At 42.5% G+C, this 17304-nt stretch overlaps 1 protein-coding gene across 4 annotated transcripts in view, besides 1 other annotated feature; it reads left to right on the top strand.

Annotated features, from left to right (window-relative positions):
• VAPB (VAMP associated protein B and C) overlaps positions 1-17304 on the top strand; it is a 61873-nt gene that overhangs the window by 29630 nt on the left and 14939 nt on the right. For 2 of the 4 annotated variants that reach the window (XR_001754433.3, NM_004738.5), the window contains exon 3: positions 15744-15847. The exons of the other annotated variants lie outside the window; for them this stretch is intronic. Coding sequence is in view for 1 of the 2 variants with exons in the window: in NM_004738.5 (NP_004729.1) it covers positions 15744-15847 (104 nt within the window). In the remaining variant the exon portion in view is untranslated. The remainder of the gene's footprint in view (positions 1-15743; positions 15848-17304) is intronic. 4 annotated transcript variants of the gene reach the window in all.
• Positions 8667-9361: an enhancer, noted in NCBI's record as "OCT4-NANOG hESC enhancer chr20:57002581-57003275 (GRCh37/hg19 assembly coordinates)". NCBI's record gives its function as "activates a minimal SCP1, AML or CMV promoter by ChIP-STARR-seq in naive H9 embryonic stem cells {active_cell/tissue: H9 hESC(naive)}" and the evidence as "EXISTENCE:reporter gene assay evidence [ECO:0000049][PMID:30033119]".

A 17304-nucleotide genomic window follows, 5' to 3' on the forward strand; every position in this document is an offset into this window, starting at 1 on the left:
GAGGGCTGAGCAAATTGGAATATACTCAAGGGTGTCAGTTTGGTGCATGTCTGATGGTTTTCTCTTCTGTCTGGGAGTGCATGTATTTTCCAAAATCCACCTTTTGAAAAATACTGGTAAAGTGCCCAAATTGAGAATTGGATTTCAGAATTAAGGAGATGTCAGTGATGGGTTGGAGTTTAAATGTATTTTAGAAATGGAATAAACTTTTAGCTCATTAGAACTTCTCCATCCAAGAAGGAGCTGTGGGGGAGTGTGTATTTATCTTGTAAATATCAAGTGACTCAGTGTCACAGAGGCTTCTGCATCAATAGAAGCTACTGCTCATTTGAAATGAGTATCTCTCTGGCTTTTTCCATGATAGATTTTGATTGTGATACACTTGGCTATTCATTTGACACCTAAAAGAAAATGATTCACCTCTTTGGAAAGATATAAGGTGTTTCATTATCTGATCGTTTCTGCAAACTCTTATTCCCTGCATCTCGTCTCTCTCATTATGGTGCACCCATGCCAGCTCTCCCCCTGTGCTTCTCTTGAGTCTGCAAGACCTGATCTTCGAATCAAGTTATTATCTTGAAGTCAGGAGGGTCGAAGCCAGCATTGATTGAGGGGCTTCTATGTGCTGGACCTGCACATGTACTATCTCATGTCATTTCTCTTACCTGCCCTGTAAGGGATGCATTGTCACCTCCATTTTACTAAGAAGTAGACTGGTGGTCATAGCATCGTGAAACTAGCAAATAACAGAGCCAAGATGTGGATCATTCTGACTGGCTCTGAAGCCCATGCTCTTTGAACTGCAGCACTCTGGAGAAAGGAAGGAACTGGGATTTTGGCATTTCTGTATCCTCTGGATATGTATGGTTTAAATTTTTCTGTTGACATCAAGGGCAGCTGAAATCTTTTGTTCCCCTCTTCTATCTACTTTCCCCCCCTCGATTTCCATGCCTGTATCAAATTTGAGCAAGTTTGTCAGTAGATGAAAATTACCAATTTTTATAGGAAGAATAGGGAATGCAGCATGGTTTTCTGAATAAAAGAATCTCAGTAGGTGGTTGTACAATGTTAGTGTGTTTTCTGATATAAAATATAAATATGTATGGGTGGGTGTATGTGTATGTCTCTATCTCTCTCTTTTTTTTTTGAGACAGTCTCACTTTGTCGCCCAGGCTGGAGTGCAGTGGCGCGATCTCTGCTCACTGCAACCTCCACCTCCCAGATTCAAGCAATTCTCTTGCCTCAGCCTCCCGAGTAGCTAGGATTACAGGTGCGTGCCACCACACCTGGTAATTTTTGTATTTTTAGTAGAGACAGGGTTTCACCATGTTGGCTAGGCTGGTCTCAAACTCCTGACCTCAAGTGATCCGCCTGCCTCGGCCTCCCAAAGTGCTGGGATTACAGGCGTGAGCCACCGCGCCAGGCATCTCCGTCTCTCTTTCAGGAAGATCCATTGTTTCCCCATCATAGGAATTTTTAAAAAGTAAAAGCGAACTCTGCCTTTGTTCTGATTTATGATTGCTTACTCAAGGAAGACCAAGACTTTGTGGTTGTGGCCTTCCTTTGGCAGATAAAGTAAGGCACAGAGTGTGGCACAGTCATCAAGGGTCACTTGGATGGTCATGGCAGCACTGCTATTTGAAGCTAGTGGCTTGGCTCCTGATCCAGTGCTCTTTCTGTCATACTAAACTGCCTCAGTAGTGTTAGAGGATGACCCCACTTATGAATGAATGTAAAAAGTACCATCATTCTCAAAGTTTAATGTATTTGGGGGAAAAAGTAGTTGAATAATAAAATGTCCATGTGTCTGTAGACTTTCTTCCTAGATGAGACAAGATCATATCTGCACCTTAGAAAGAGCTCCTTTGTTATTATTTGGTATTTAGCTCAGTGCTTGGGGGGAACCAAGGTGAAACCAGATGTCATTGCATTTCTAGGACAGCCTTGCAAGTCAGCAAAGGAGGCCAGCCCCATTTGCTGCAGTTGTATGTGCTGAGGGACCACTGCATCATTTATTAGACATGCATAGCTTGGGATAAAAAGCACTGCCTTTTTCCAGGAGTCCTCTTGGTATTAATACAGCTACATGATGACATCTTGGTGAGTCACTAGAGTCCTCAGGAGGAGGAGGATACCAGTCGACAGGCAGTGCAGATTATCCAAAAGCCAGCCTCCCCTTCTCCCCAGATATGCACATGGCCAAGCTTGGTTTTACCCACTCTCTTCAAAGATTAGTGGATTTGAGGTCGGGAAACCTGAACAGGAAGACCAGTTGTGCTGTTTAACCAGTCAGCTGAATTTTGACCAACCTATTAACCTTTCTAGGTTCTTGTTTTCTCACTTGTAAGGTAGGGAGAATAGTGTCTACCTTACAGAATATATACAAATACTGCAGAATCAACAGCATGGTACAAGAGTGGTACATTTGTACGTTCGTTGTTCTTCCACTAGCTTTGACAAAAACCGGCTAGTTTTTGAAGAAGGTGGATTGCATAATACTTGAATTGACTGTTTAGAAATAAATTACCCCTATATTTTATTTATTTATGGACCTTTGCTAATTTTGAGAAGAAATTTGTGTTTTCTCTTCCTTGTGTAATATTCATTTGTTTTATAGTGAAAAGTTGCCAGTACATTTTCAGGTATAATCTTTAAAAAGGTGGCCACCACATCAGCTTAAAATACTGCTAGCATTGCCCTGCCCACCACCCAAAGTGTCACTACATACCTGAGAAGGACATGACCAGTGCATTTTTCCCATTTCTGAAAACCCTTGGAATGCACTAGCTATTCGGGAAGGCTGTAAATCATTATTTTAAAGAGAGGAGGGAGGGAGGGGGAAGGAAAGAAAGAGAGGAGGGAAGCAGGAAGGTGGGAAGAGAGGGAGGGTTGATGGTAATGATGTCTGCCCATGGAGCTGGCACCTGTGCTGGCCAGAGGGATCAAGGTTTTGAAGGCACACAGGTTCAGATTGTGACATGGAAAGCCAGATGTCTTTCAGAGAAACCCTGTGAAGCTCTTTTTACCTTTTCACATTACCCTGATATTCAAGGGACCTTACATTGTGCTTCAAAAGTTCAGGCTCTGACCTATCATGCTATTTTCTTCAGAACACGGCAGATCACTTATTGGGTCCTTAAAAAAACTCCCTTTTATAAACTTAGGTGGTAAAGTAACAGTTGGACACAGGCATAACCTAAACTTTTTGTGTCAGTGGATTATAATATGTGGGCTTTCCCAAAGAGTTGCTTTAGGCCCTGGCCCCTTGGACCTGTGATTTGAATCCTTTTCTTTGTCCTTTACATGGGTGCTCGTCTCATCTCATTTTTATTGTAGCCCCTTCTGAGGTTTGTGCTTTTTGGATGAGGTCACATGGTAGATAGGGGGTGCAGGGGGCTTTCTGTTTGCATTCACTGGCCCAGAATACTGTGGTTTTGGCCCGTTGCTCCATGATACATACTATCAACTAGAGATGGTTTTGAATTATTTAATCTGGACCTCAGCAAAATAGGTACACTTAAATAGAGATTGAAGAAAGGGAGGTTGGAATTTTTTCCTCCTGAGATTTCAAATGTAAGGAATAAAGAACTTTTTGAATTAACGAATTGTTTTGAGGCAGTGGGGATCTTCCCATTTGTTCTAGCTTTACAAAATTAAATCTATTTTCTGAACTGTACGGTGGGAAAATATTTTTAAGGTACATAATTTCTGAAAATGTCTTTGTGGTAAGCTGTTAGTGGTTGTGGATTTTTTTTTTTTTTTAGTGCTTCAGTTAATAATGAGGGAGTTTTCCATTAATATTCCAAACCATGTTTGCCAGCGGATACAGCAGGTGAAGTGGTAAAATTATGGGCCCATCAAAAATACTTATGCTTCCTGTAATATGATATTAAGTTTAATATTTTTATAACCTTCACTGAATTCTAATTTCACTAAAGTAGCAAGCATGCGTCCATTTGCAGTTCAGTTATGCACATTGGTTGCCTGTGTCCCAAGCAAATTAGAAATGCAAAATATCTGTGTGTGGAGGGGGGCATTGGAAAGAGTCATTAAAGATACCGATATTTAGTTACAGATACACTTTACTAAGTGTACCTTGGGAATTGAAAATGGATTAAAGACAAACACAAAACTCCCAGTGTCTGAATCTGTATTTTAAATTAGAATTCAAAGGATTAAGGAGCAGTATTCATTCCTGACATACAGCCCTTTTCAGCACTCTTTTCAATCACATTTAAAGCATAAAGTTTTTCCAGTAAAATCCTCAGGACAGCCAGGTGCAGTGGCTTATGCCTGTAATCCCAGCACTTTGGGAGGCCGAGGCAGGCGGATCACCTGAGGTTGGGAATTCGAGACCATCCTGACCAACATGGAGAAACCCCGTCTCTACTAAACATACAAAATTAGCCGGGCATGCTGGCACATGCCTGTAATCCCAGCTACTCATGAAGGCTGAGGCAGGAGAATCACTTGAGCCTGGGAGGCGGAGGTTGCAGTGAGCCAAGATCGCGCCATTGCACTCCAGCCTGGGCAACAAGAGAGAAACTCCATCTCACAAAAAAAAAAAAAAAAAAAAAAAAAAAAAAAAAAAGAAAAGAAAAATCCTCAGAGCATGAACATCAGCAGCTCTTCTTGGATGAAAACATTGATCAGTTAATTTAAATGGATAGTATTGTGATTAATAATCCTTTTAAGATTTCCCTGACTCAGTTTAATGTAGCTGTTTGGTGGCCCTGGAGCAGTCAACCAGGAGTGCACCTTTCAGGTGCACTAGGGTATAAACGCACAGAGCCCTTAGACAAAGAAGCCAAACATTTATCCATCAAGCACTGATAGTGGGAGCTGCATTTGGGGAGTTTGAGCTTCTTAACAGCAACATTCTTCTTTGTTTGATTGTTTGCTTTGGAAGTCTCTGATAAGCGAAACTTTTTTATAAGTGGTTTCCATGAACCAGGCTTATTACTCTCAGATAAGAACAACTCACATTCATACTTTAAAAGATGTCTTTAATCTTTTTCAGCAGATGAGAGATTCTGCTTAAACAAAAAGTAGAAAAAAGAAAATTACCAACAAAAATTCAGCTTAATTACGCTTTTAAGGGTTTTTACAAGTTTACTGTAATACTTAGGTTTTTAAGGAAGAATTGTTACTTTTTTTGTGACTATGACACAGTTTATTCTTTACATTTTTAAATATCAAGATCAAGAGGACTTACACATTTTGTCTACCTCAGTTAGCTGAAGGTAACTTCAACTCTGTACAGCATAACTGAGAAGCAAAAAATAAGCAAAGTTTTAAGAAGCCAAAAGTGATTTTCTTTTCACTCATTATGGGTCCTTGCATACTTACACACTTGAGGGCTCTCCAGTCTTGAATCTTGTCTTGTTTATTCTTACCTTAGACTTACTGTTAACCCTGTCCTGGTTGCCAGCTCATCACAGATGAGAATAAAGGGAAAGGGGTACAGAGGTGGCCACGTTGAAAGCGGCCCATGTGACAGTGCATAGCAGACAGTGGACGGGCTGGGCAAGAACACCACCGAGAGCAAGTGCAGGGAGCATTCAGAAATAACAGTGGGGAGCTGGAATTCCTTAAGCCTCGGGGAATTGTTCTCCATGTTTTAGGTGATCAGCCCCAAGAGACACAGCTTGCAGGTTTCATTAAGATGGTATATAATGGGGGTTCATGTCACAACATAAGAGTAATCAGAAAAGGGGTATGTTGTATTCCATTATAAATGTTAGAGGAGATTGAAAAGTATGTTGGATTTTTGAAAAAGATTTACATTTTAAAAGATATTTATAAAAAAGAGTGAATAAGCCTTGTTATTTGGCCAGTGCCTGTATATAGCAGTCCTCATCTTCCATTGATACTGGAGAAAGGAGACCTCACTGTCAGCACATTTGTACTAGTCTCAGCACAAACAAATTAATCAGACTGTGAGGAGTTTGTTTTCTAAGACAGAATACACGAACTGGAAAATCCTGTAGAGAACACAAAGACACTTCAGTGTTAACTGATTTATAAATAAATGCAATTCATTATTTATTTGCTAGACTCAGAGTTCCATCCATGGGCCCCTGAATAGGCAGAGGTCCACCAAGGTGGTCATGATCTCAACGTGTTCTGGACCCTAAAGGATATAATAAATTTGCTCACAGTCTAACTAAAATGTCCAGCTTCTTTGCTTTAGGCTAGAATTATATCACCTTGTTTAGGTAATGCTGGTTATCTCCAGCTTATCAGGAGCTCTGCTTGGCATTTATGTATCTGTGTCTTTGATTAGTCTCAAAAAAGTGGATCAGTGACTTCATTCCGACCCTGTAAGCACCATATGGTAGAGGACAGTCTTTCTCTATGCAGGCTTTGTGAGAGGACGGGGAGTGCGAGACTGAGGGCACTGCCATGAGAAACTGGAAGCCCTGTCTTGCCCTCTTGGAAGGGAGGGAGTGACTCTGGGAAGTGGGACAGAAGAAAAGCCAGCTGGTGGGGGTAAAGAAGGGTTTCCTCTTTGGGCTTCTCCAAGGATATTTCTAGGGAGAGCATGATTCAGGAACGCTTTGAATGTTGGAAGAGAAGAAGGTGCAAACCTGTTAGCTAACGCAAAAAATGCAAATTAGCACCCAGAATGTGAGCTATTAAAACATTAAGTTCTGGTCTCAGTCTCATTGGGGAGAAAAAGCAAACATGTCAGAAGGAGCTTAGGAGTCTTGGAGTTGACAGTCTCCCAATAAAGTAAGGTGCCCACAGTAGGAACTGTGGTATGAAATGGTGTTTCAGCAGGAACTGCAGTGTTAGGAGGTATAGTACAGCACAGATTTTCCAGGTGTGTACCCTGGGCCAGCAGCAGCAGCAGCCCACTTGGGGACCTGTTAGAAATTGGAGTGCTCATTCTCACTGCAGCCCTGCTAACACAAAAATTCCGGAGGTGGGGTCCAGCAGTCTGTGTTGTAGCAAACATTCGTGGTGACTCTGATACTCACTGAAGTTTGAGAACTTTTCCCTCCAGAATTCTTATTTAAATTTTATTATATTTATATATTTATTTATTTTTGACAAAGTCTCTCTCTGTCACCCAGGCTGGAGTGCAGTGGTGCCATTTTAGCTCACTGCAACCTCCACCTCCTGGGTTCAAATGATTCTTGTGCCTCAGCTTCCCCAGTAGCTGGGATTACAGGTGTGTGCCACCATGCCCAGCTAAATTTTTTGTATTTTTAGTTAGGGATGGGATTTCACAATGTTGGCCAGGCTGGCCTCAAACTCCTGGCCTCAAGTGATCTGCCTACCTCGGCCTCCCAAAGTGCTGGGATTACAGGTGTGAGCCACTGCACCTGGCCTTGTTTGTTTAGTTATTTATGGAGTTGGGGTCTTGCTGTGCTGTCTAGCCTGGAGTGCATGCCGCTCTCATAGCTCACTGTAGCCTCAAATTTCTGGGCTCAAGCAGTCTTCTTGCCTCAGCCTCCCAAGTAGCTGGGACTACAGACATGCACCACCATGCCTGGCTATTCCTTACAGAGTTCTGTTAGTGGATTCAGTCCTGGAAGATGGGGTATATTGACATGTGAGTAGGGTAAGGGAGAATCAAGAGAAACGTGTCAGGCAGGGCCGACATGATAAGGGAGACTTTGATGATGATAGGAGAGCATCACTGGGTGTAAGGACATAGGGGCATGATGTGTGGCCTGAGTGATGCGCACACCTGTTGGAGCAGAAGGGAGGCCTGCCAATAAGAGACCAAGAAATCCAAGAAGGGCCAGATTGTGAAAAGCTGAACTGATTGCCTTTTACTTAGGAAATAGTTACTCTTATAGGAGGTTTTTGATCTGAGGAATTACCATGATACAAGTAGGGTATTAAGGTACGATTAAATTTGTGGAGTTTGTAGGGGCTAGGCAGGGTGATTTGGATGGGAAAGAAACTAGAAGAAACTTGGAAAAATCTAGAAGGATCTGTGGGCCTCAGCTGAGATTGTGGGCACGTAAAATGTGGAGAGAGAGATTTCGAAGATAAGATTGTGAGATTAAAAAAAAGTGAAGCATGTGCTGTAGTACTTGTTAGACTTTATTTGCTCTGTTACCGTTATAATGCAGACGAAAGTGATCTGTGATCTGTTACCATTATGATGCAGGCGAAAGTGATCTGTGATCTTTTACCATTATGATGCAGGCGAAAGTGACCTGTGATCTGTTACCATTATGATGCAGACGAAAGTGATCCGTGATCTGTTACCGTTATGATGCAGGCGAAAGTGATCTGTGATCTGTTACCATTATGATGCAGGTCCATGATCTGTTACCATTATGATGCAGACGAAAGTGATCTGTGATCTGTTACCATTATGATGCAGGCGAAAGTGATCCGTGATCTGTTACAATTATGATGCAGGCGAAAGTGATCCGTGATCTGTTACCATTATGATGCAGGCGAAAGTGATCTGTGATCTGTGATCTGTTACCATTATGATGCAGGCGAAAGTGATCCGTGATCTGTTACCATTATGATGCAGGTGAAGGTGGTCCGTGATCTGTTACCATTATGATGCAGGTCCATGATCTGTTACCATTATGATGCAGACGAAAGTGATTCGTGATCTGTTACCATTATGATGCAGGTGAAAGTGATCCGTGATCTGTTACCATTATGATGCAGGCAAAAGTGATTTGTGATCTCGTAGCATTATGATGCAGGCAAAAGTGATCTGTGATCTGTTACCATTATGATGCAGGCAAAAGTGATCTGTGATCTGTTACCATTATGATGCAGGTGAAAGTGATCTGTGATCTGTTACCATTATGATGCAGGCAGAAGTGATCTGTGATCTGTTACCATTATGCTGCAGATGAAAGTGATCTGTTACCATTATGATGCAGGCAGAAGTGATCTGTGATCTGTTACCATTATGATGCAGATGAAAGTGATCTGTGATCTGTTACCATTATGATGCAGGCGAAAGTGATCTGTGATCTGTTACCATTATGATGCTGGTGAAAGTGATCTGTGATCTGTTACCATTATGATGCAGGCGAAAGTGATCTGTGATCTGTTACCATTATGATGCAGGGGAAAGTGATCTGTGATCTGTTACCATTATGATGCAGGCGAAAGTGATCTGTGATCTGTTACCATTATGATGCAGGCGAAAGTGATCTGTGATCTGTTACCATTATGATGCAGGCGAAAGTGATCTGTGATTTGCTTGGGTTCTCAGAAGCAGCATTTAACTGCATTTAATCAAGTCATCATTACTCCAAGGGGTGTGTGTGTATGTTTTAAGTAGCGTATCTTCTGTGTTTCTTCTCTGTTCAGGCAACTCTGATCTTAATGATCCAATGTTTTATGACCCCAAAGGCCCTTTCTTAACAGGATCCCAGTTTGCAATCTGTAATACAACAGGCATTGTATCACAAAGCATTAATGTAGATGAGTAGTGACCTGGCTTCCAGGCTGTCTTCTGGTAACAGGCTTCTGTTTAGTGTAGTATCAGCAGATACATTTTAAAAGTAGGATAGATGGTTCATTTAAGAGGGCTTTATCATCAGTATTCACTTGAATACCAGAGATACTGGTGAATACCATTTGGTGTAGCGTAACAGTGCTTAAACTTTTTGGTCTCAGGACCCCTTTAAATTCTTAAAAATGAAGATGCAGCTGGGCACAGTGGCAGGCACCTATAGTCCTAGCTACTCAGGAGGCTAAGGCGGGAGGATCACTTGAGCCCAGGAGTTGGAGGCCAGTCTGGACAACATAGCAAGACCCCATCTCTTGAAAAAAAGTGAAAGTGAAATAAATTTAAGTTAATGGCAAACTCTTTTATAGTCTGCCATGGTAAAAAGTACATAATTTCTGTCACAATTTGCACATATGGAGCTGAAAGAACTAATGATTAGCAACATTCTGTCATGTTTTTATAAAGTTCCCACTAACAGGATAGAGCAAATTGAATTTGACATGAGATGATAGTAGCTGAGAAATACAAACTCTTTGATGTGAGTTAGGGGCCATGTTATGCAGGATGTGGATACTGAGATACTCCAGAAGTTTATGAAGTTTCACAGAATCTGGGTGTCCCAAGTCCTCACTGTGGCTGGCTGATGTAGGAGCCCACAAGCCAAGGAGAGCTGGTGATGAAAAACACCCCCATTTGCTGTTCCAGGCTGGTAGAAATCTAGAAGTGAGTCTTTGGGGCCTGAGCTGAGATTGTAGGCGTGTAAATGCGAAGAGATTTCAAAGATGAGATTCTGAGATTTAAAAAATGAAGCATATGCCATGGTGCTTGTTAGACTTTTTTTTTTTTTTCCAAAGCAGAAAACTTTTCTCAGATCAAAAACCTCCCATAACTACCCACCTTATACCCAGAACTTCCTGAAAGTTGACATGCCGGTAGGGCACAGTTTTTATTCCCAATTGAAAAGTTTCCATTCACCAATGCATGTAGGCATCTGTGTATATATCTCCTCAGTCCTCCGCTTTTGCAGAAGGGCTGTTGGACCTGCTACCTCAGGCTGTCGCCGGTGCTCTGTTAAAGTGATTGCTTACACCCACTGCCTTGTGTGCTTGCATGCCTGTTTATGTCTTCTCCTCTGCCCATGAAATGGTCCTTCCATGTCTACACTGTGGTGACTTGGTAGGTAGGATGTTCTAGGCCTGGAGCTGTGCTGGTGACATCTGTAAGGTCTGCAGTAAGGGGGCAGTATATCTCAGACAGTGCCCTTTTGTGGAGGTAGAGCAAGCAGTTGCAAAGGCCTTTGATTAGAGGAGCATAGGGAACGCCCATTCCTTCCGTAAGGGATGTGTGTGCATGCATATGTGCCTCTATTTTCACCTGAGGGCCAGGTACGTCCCGAAAACTCAAGACCTGGTTTGTGTAAATCTCCTTTCTCTTTTTAAACTGCAGATTCTCCCAAGAGGGGTACTACACAGAGCCACCAGTGTGTTATTACTTGGCCGCATTGACTTATTTAACTATATTTTTACCTCCTGGAGGGCCTGTGAGACCATTTGGTGTAGCATAACAGTGCTCAAACTTTTTGGTCTCAGGACCCCTTTACATTCTTAAAAATGAAGACGCAGCTGGGCACAGTGACAGGCACCTATAGTCCTAGCTACTCAGGAGGCAAGGCAGGAGGATCACTTGAGCCCAGGAGTTGTAGGCCAGCCTGGACAACATAGCAAGACCTCATCTCTTAAAAAAAAAAAAAGTAAGACCCAAAAAGCTTTTGGTTTGTGGGGTATATCAATATTTATTATATTAAAAATTAAACTGAAAATTCATATAATTATTTAAGAATAACATAATTACATGTTAACAGAGTAACATTTTTAATGAAAAGTAACTTTTCAAAAAAATTAGGAGACTGATACTTGACATTTTTTCATTTTTTGCCAATTTTTCTTTTTTTTTTTGAGGTGGAGTCTCTGTCGCTCAGGCTGTAATGCAGTGGCACAATCTTGCCACTGCACTCCAGCATGAGGGACAGAGTGAGACTCCATCCTCCCAGGTTCAAGTGATTCTCATGCCTCAGCCTCCCGAATAGCTGGGATTACAGGTGCCCACCACCGTGCCTGGCTAATTTTTGTATTTTCAGTAGAGACAGGTTTTGCCTCTTGGCCAGGCTGGTCACAGACTCCTGGCCTCAGGTGATCCACCCACCTTGGCCTCCCAAAGTTCTGGGATTACAGCCATGAGCTGCTGTGCCTGGCCTGCAAATTTCATTTTTCTTTTTTTTTTTGTTTTGAGACAGAGTCTCACTCTTGTCGCCCAGGCTGGAGTGCAGTGGCGCCGTCTTGGCTCACTGCAATCTCCACCTCGCAGGTTTAAGCGATTCTCCTGCCTCAGCCTCCTGAGTAGCTGGGATTACAGGCATGCACCACCACACCCAGATAATTTTTGTATTTTTAGTAAAGAAAGGGTTTCACCATGTTGGCGAGGCTGGTCTGGAACTCTTGACCTCAGGTGATCCACCCGCCTCGGCCTCCCAAAGTGCTGGGATTACAGGCGTGAGCCACTGCGCCCTGCTGCACATTTCTTTAGTGTCTGTTTCAATAGAAGACAGGCTGGATGCTCATATCTGCTTCTGCATTTAGTCTGTTAGGATGTGTTCTTTTGGTGAATGCATATGAAGAAAAACTGCTGTCACCACAGATATGTAGTTGGAAAAGGGGAGAGTATGTTTAATTGCTTTTTCAGATAAATCTGAACATTCTTCGATACTACACCAAAACTTGACAAGTGTTACTTTCTTCAAGGTTATTAGTATGATGTGGAATCTGAAGCCATGTCTGTGACTTTTTGAACATTGTTTCACTAAAACACATCAGTCTCTGTTGTACTTTGAATGGATTTTGTGATATCATGCATGGATTGTTTGGAAACCATTTGCTGAGTGTTGCAGAGCTTCCAAATGTTGGCATATTGCATTGTACACTCACAAAAAAATCACATTCATTTCTTTTCCTGATGATCTCATTGGAAAAGTCTGTAAGTATTTGCAGAACCATGAAGCTCTGGTTGGCAGATGAAAGTATTCCACAATTATAATTTTTACCTAAAAGCCTGTATTTTATCATTGACAGTAACTACTGTAAATTGTTTTTCTCTAGAGTCAAAGCCAGGTTTGAGCCCTGGCACTCTTGTTTAATACGCTGGCCATGGGACCCAGGTGAGCCCACTTAGCGCCTTTCTGAGCCCTTATCTTGTTTGTTTTTTTTTTTGTTTTTTCTTTTTTTTTAAGAGACTGGGTCTTGCTCTGTCACCCAGGCTGGAGTTCAGTGGTGCTATCATAGCTCTCTGCAGCCTCCATCTCCCAGGCCTAAGCAGTCCTTCCACCTCAATCTCAGCCTCTCAAGTAGCTGGGACTATAGGCTACCATGCCCAGCTAATTTTTTTGTGGTAGAGATGGGGTCTTGCTTTGTCGCCCAGGTTGGTCTTGAACTCAAGTGATCCTCCCGCCTTGGCCTCCCAAAGTGCTGGTGTTACAGTTGTGAGCCACCATGCCTGGCAGCCCTTATCTTTTTATCTTGAAAAAGGAGACGTGCTGCTTGGATGGATTGTTGTGAGTAGTAAATGGGAGCACTAAGGAGAATTTGCCTTCTATGGTACCTATTACACAGGAGGCATGAGTAAAGATTCTTTTCCTTTCTTTCCTTCTTGGGCCATCATGAAAGTATTGGGGATGAAGAAGCTGAGGGATGATGGAGAAATGGAAAGGAAGGACCTGTTTTCCCTTGGGGCATTCTTAGAACCCAGGCAGAGCTCTGGACACAGTGCTCTTGGCTGTACTTTTTTACTCCCACTGCCTCTAGGAAGGTGATGAATGGGAAGGGGCAGGCAGAGCTTCCTGGGGCTGTTTTTTGGGGGTGTGTTCTGTTCTCTGGACCCATTGGTTTTTGTATTTCATCTAAATAGCTTCTCTAAAAATTAGCATTTTCCTTGGATTGCTGTCATGTGAGCATCAGGGATCTTTACAAATAAACCTTGTTCCTCCTCAGAGCTCTCCAGAGTGGTAGACTTGGGAGTGGTGCAATAGCTGTTCACAGCTGGGAGAACAGAGTCTCAAGGGTAAGACGGTGTTTACTACTAGATCTGTGCCCTGCCAAAAATCTAAGAGTAGTTCAGGTCAAAGTTCTCTTCTTTCCTAAACTGAAAAATACCAGAGCATGATTTTGTCACAGCCAAGGAAGACCTGAAATTCTTAAAACTGAATTCACTTTAATTTTAGAAAGGGAACATTAATCTAACAGTGAATCCCAGCTCCAAAGAAGGTTGACAGTCCCTGTCCAGGAAGGTTCACAGAGCATGTAAAGACATTGGCTCTTTACTTTAAAATGTGTGTTTTCGTTATTGCAATCTTAGGGGCAGGAAAAAAACACATTGGGAATTTGGCTTTCAGAAAAAGCATTGACCTGCCAGTCTGGTCATTTGTCCCTGAGGTTAAGTGTCAAGCCCAGGTCGGTAAATGTTCCAGGTCTGTCTGTAGGAAAGGTCAGCTCTTGCCAGCTCAGTGATGCCAGAGAAAGAGTTATGTTGATAAAAGGTTTACTCTCTGACAGTTATTGAATTTTGTCCTGAAGAAGTCTCCCAGCAAGGCTTCCTTGTAGCTCAGGGCCTTCAGGTGGGTCTTGTGGGCAGTGAAGCTGTCTGGGTGACTAGGGACACCAGTGCATTTAAGTCCAATGCATGGTTAGGTCTCAGTGGACTTTCTCTGTTCCCATGGTGAAGAGTGCTACTGCATCCCTAAGATGGATGGGGGAGGTTGGTATTTCTATCCTGTTTTGTGAATGGTTCCATTAGCTTTGTCGTGGGGCCTGGGTGCCAGATATAAATCTAGCTCATATTGGAGTGACTAGTGTGGTGAAAGGGGTGCTAGACTGCACTTGTAGTCAAGTCTTGGCTCTTTGTCCCAGTGTTGCCACTTCTTAACATTGTGACTTTGAGGGAGCCACTTCACTTTGTGGAATCCCAGATTCTTCATTTGTAGACCACGGCTATCCTGCTTTCTATCTGCTGCTGGCTGTGGTTGATTGTGTGGCTCTAGAGGAAGCACCTGGGAAGTCCTAAGTTGGGGTTTCAAGGCAAGAGAATGCTGATGAGGGCCCAGCAGAAAGGTGGTAGAAGCCCTGCTGGTGAGAAGCATAAGACTTGTACTGTCAGAGGACAAGGCACCAGTCCTTTGTGGTGGCTGTGAACTTAGGTCCCCACACCAACTGCCTGGGTTTGAGTCTGCACTCCACCAAGGTGTAACCTTGGGCAAATTCACCTCTCTGTGTTCATTCTTTTCATGTGAAAAGTAGACACCAGAATAGCCCCTCTCCCCCAACAATAGTACCTACTTTTTAAGGATTAAATGAGATGATGGTAAACCTAAGGGACAGAGCCCAGTTTCTGGCACATGGAGATACTCAGTCCATGCCCACTGTTGTGGTCAAGGCCACAGTAGGCTTTCCCTGCATGTGAAGTTGTCTCAGGGAACTTAACTAGATGTGTGGGTTAGCCAAAGCCTTGTAGCAAAGTAACATATTTTAAAGCAGCCATCATTTGATAGGAGTAGGCCCAGCTGTACTCTAGGAAGTAGGCTGAAGGGAGCCACTTGGGGTAGGAAGGCACCTCCCTCCATGCAGTGGGTGTGACTCATCCACAGGATCCTCTGTGTGAGATTTCTCTAGGTTCTTAGGGAAAAAAAAGGGGGAGTATAAGCTGATACCGTTTTCCCTGCTGTGTGAGTGTCCTGATTGTAAAAATTTTCTAGCTTTATGTTGGCAAAATTGTATTTCAAGGATTACCTTGATTAGCTATATGAGAAATGGGTTGGAGAGAAGCTACAACAGTTCCTTAAATGTTCTTAAACATCTTAGATTATTCTATTTAATTCCTGAAGAGATCATTTGGATATGTTTTCTTGAGCAAAACAGGCAGATGGTGTTGCTACCCAGTTTCCCAATTCTGTAAGGCCTGTAGCAGACATTTACGGTAGGCTTGCAGTAGTGAAAGATCCATGGACTAGGAATCAGAAGACTGGGTCCTCGGCCTTATTCCCAGCTCTGTCATGCGTGATTTTGTGGCTCTTAGGTTGGTGACCTGCAAAATGGAGATGTTGGTCATCCTTGCTTACTTCACCAGGGGCGTCCATCCTAAGACATAAGAGAATGCCGGTAAATTGCTTTACAACCAAAGTACAAGTATTAGCATAATAAATGGCACTGACAACCAAGCTCTGACCCTCCTAATGAAATATTTTCTTTCTCAGTGATGTTACAGCCTTTCGATTATGATCCCAATGAGAAAAGTAAACACAAGTTTATGGTTCAGTCTATGTTTGCTCCAACTGACACTTCAGATATGGAAGCAGTAGTAAGTACTGAATGCTTCTTATTTTTTTCAGTAACAATAATTTAAAAAACCAATTAGATATGGAATTGTGGGTGCATGCATTTCAAAATATGTCAAAATTATTTAAAAGGGAATAGTTTTTTTTCAAGGAGGTTTGTACTTTATCTACCTTTATGGTTTTTCTAAAACTTTGAGGAATAATTTTAACATTTTTTGTGACTTTCTAGAAGGCTGTTCTTTTCTGACTTTCCTGAGCTCAGTGTGCTTCAGCAGCTCCTTGCACTGGTGGATGGTGTCTTGCATGGTTAGGGATTGCCTTCTTTCGCCTCTCCTTTCTGCCCCGACAGAAAAGGATACTTTTCATTGTCCCGCCTTTTTCTTACTTGTCTTCTCATCCCCCACAAACTCAAGAGCCATGTGAGAGTGTCAGTGCTGAATGTCCTCACCCATTTAGACATACATGTTTGTGGCTTTGTTCTAGTAAATATGCTTATTTATTTTCCCCCCTGCTTAAATCTATGTTTAACTTTTCTCTAATTTTGATAAAATTAAGATGACTTCATTTTTATAAAAGAAATAAGTGATGTTAGTGATGGTTTTGGAAAAAAAAAAAAGAGTATAATGGACATTCCCTCCAAAACGAGCTTTTTATACATTTGAATAAGTCCATTGGCATTCTGGGGCTGGGAGTTGAATTGAAATCTACAATACAACCCACAGCCCCAGCAGGGACAGATGCGCTTGTCCTTACAGTTCAGGAAAGCAGGACAGGGTTGCCTCATACCACTTGCATTGCTCTCCAGTTTTGGCCCGCCCAAAGGGGAGCCCCGAGTCATCCACGGCAGGTCTGCCCACCTGAGTCCGCTGTTCATCACACCATACTGCAGTTCTCCTCTGTCTGAGTTTCATACCAAGGGCAACTCAGGCCAAGACCACCCCATGCCCTATGTCACCACATAGCCTTTTGTTTAAGTTCTGGAGAAGCATCTCCGCTGATGTTTCACTTGTAGGCAGAAAATGAAGGAGGAGGCCAGATATTTTTGACTTTTAGAGAGATCAGTGATAATAGGCTGTCTTCTTTTCATAAGAACAATTCTTATGAAAACTTTCTCTGATTTTCTGCAACATGATGTGTTACTTCATGTTAATTTGTGTGATCAAAGAAACATGGCAGATAGAAAATAATGGAAGATCCAAGGGTGTGTTCTGTTTGGCTTCTGCTGCATGGCATAGTGAAAAGAGCATGGGCTTGGGTGTTTTCGAGCTGAGTTCTTCCTTTTACTGACGTTGTGGCTGGGAGCAGGTTTTATTAACTCTGTTGAGGTTTTGATCATTTGTAAAATAGGGATAAAAATGCAGCTCACACAGTGGTGAGTATGAAGTGTGCCTGTGTAAGTGCCTGGTGGGTCCAGTGTCTGACACTTGCTTATCAGAGTGTGTAATAGGCCAGTCACTGCATATCTAGTAAAGGGTCATTT

The sequence above is a fragment of the Homo sapiens genome, chromosome 20 (genome assembly GCF_000001405.40).
Source record: "Homo sapiens chromosome 20, GRCh38.p14 Primary Assembly".
Lineage (NCBI taxonomy): Eukaryota > Metazoa > Chordata > Mammalia > Primates > Hominidae > Homo > Homo sapiens.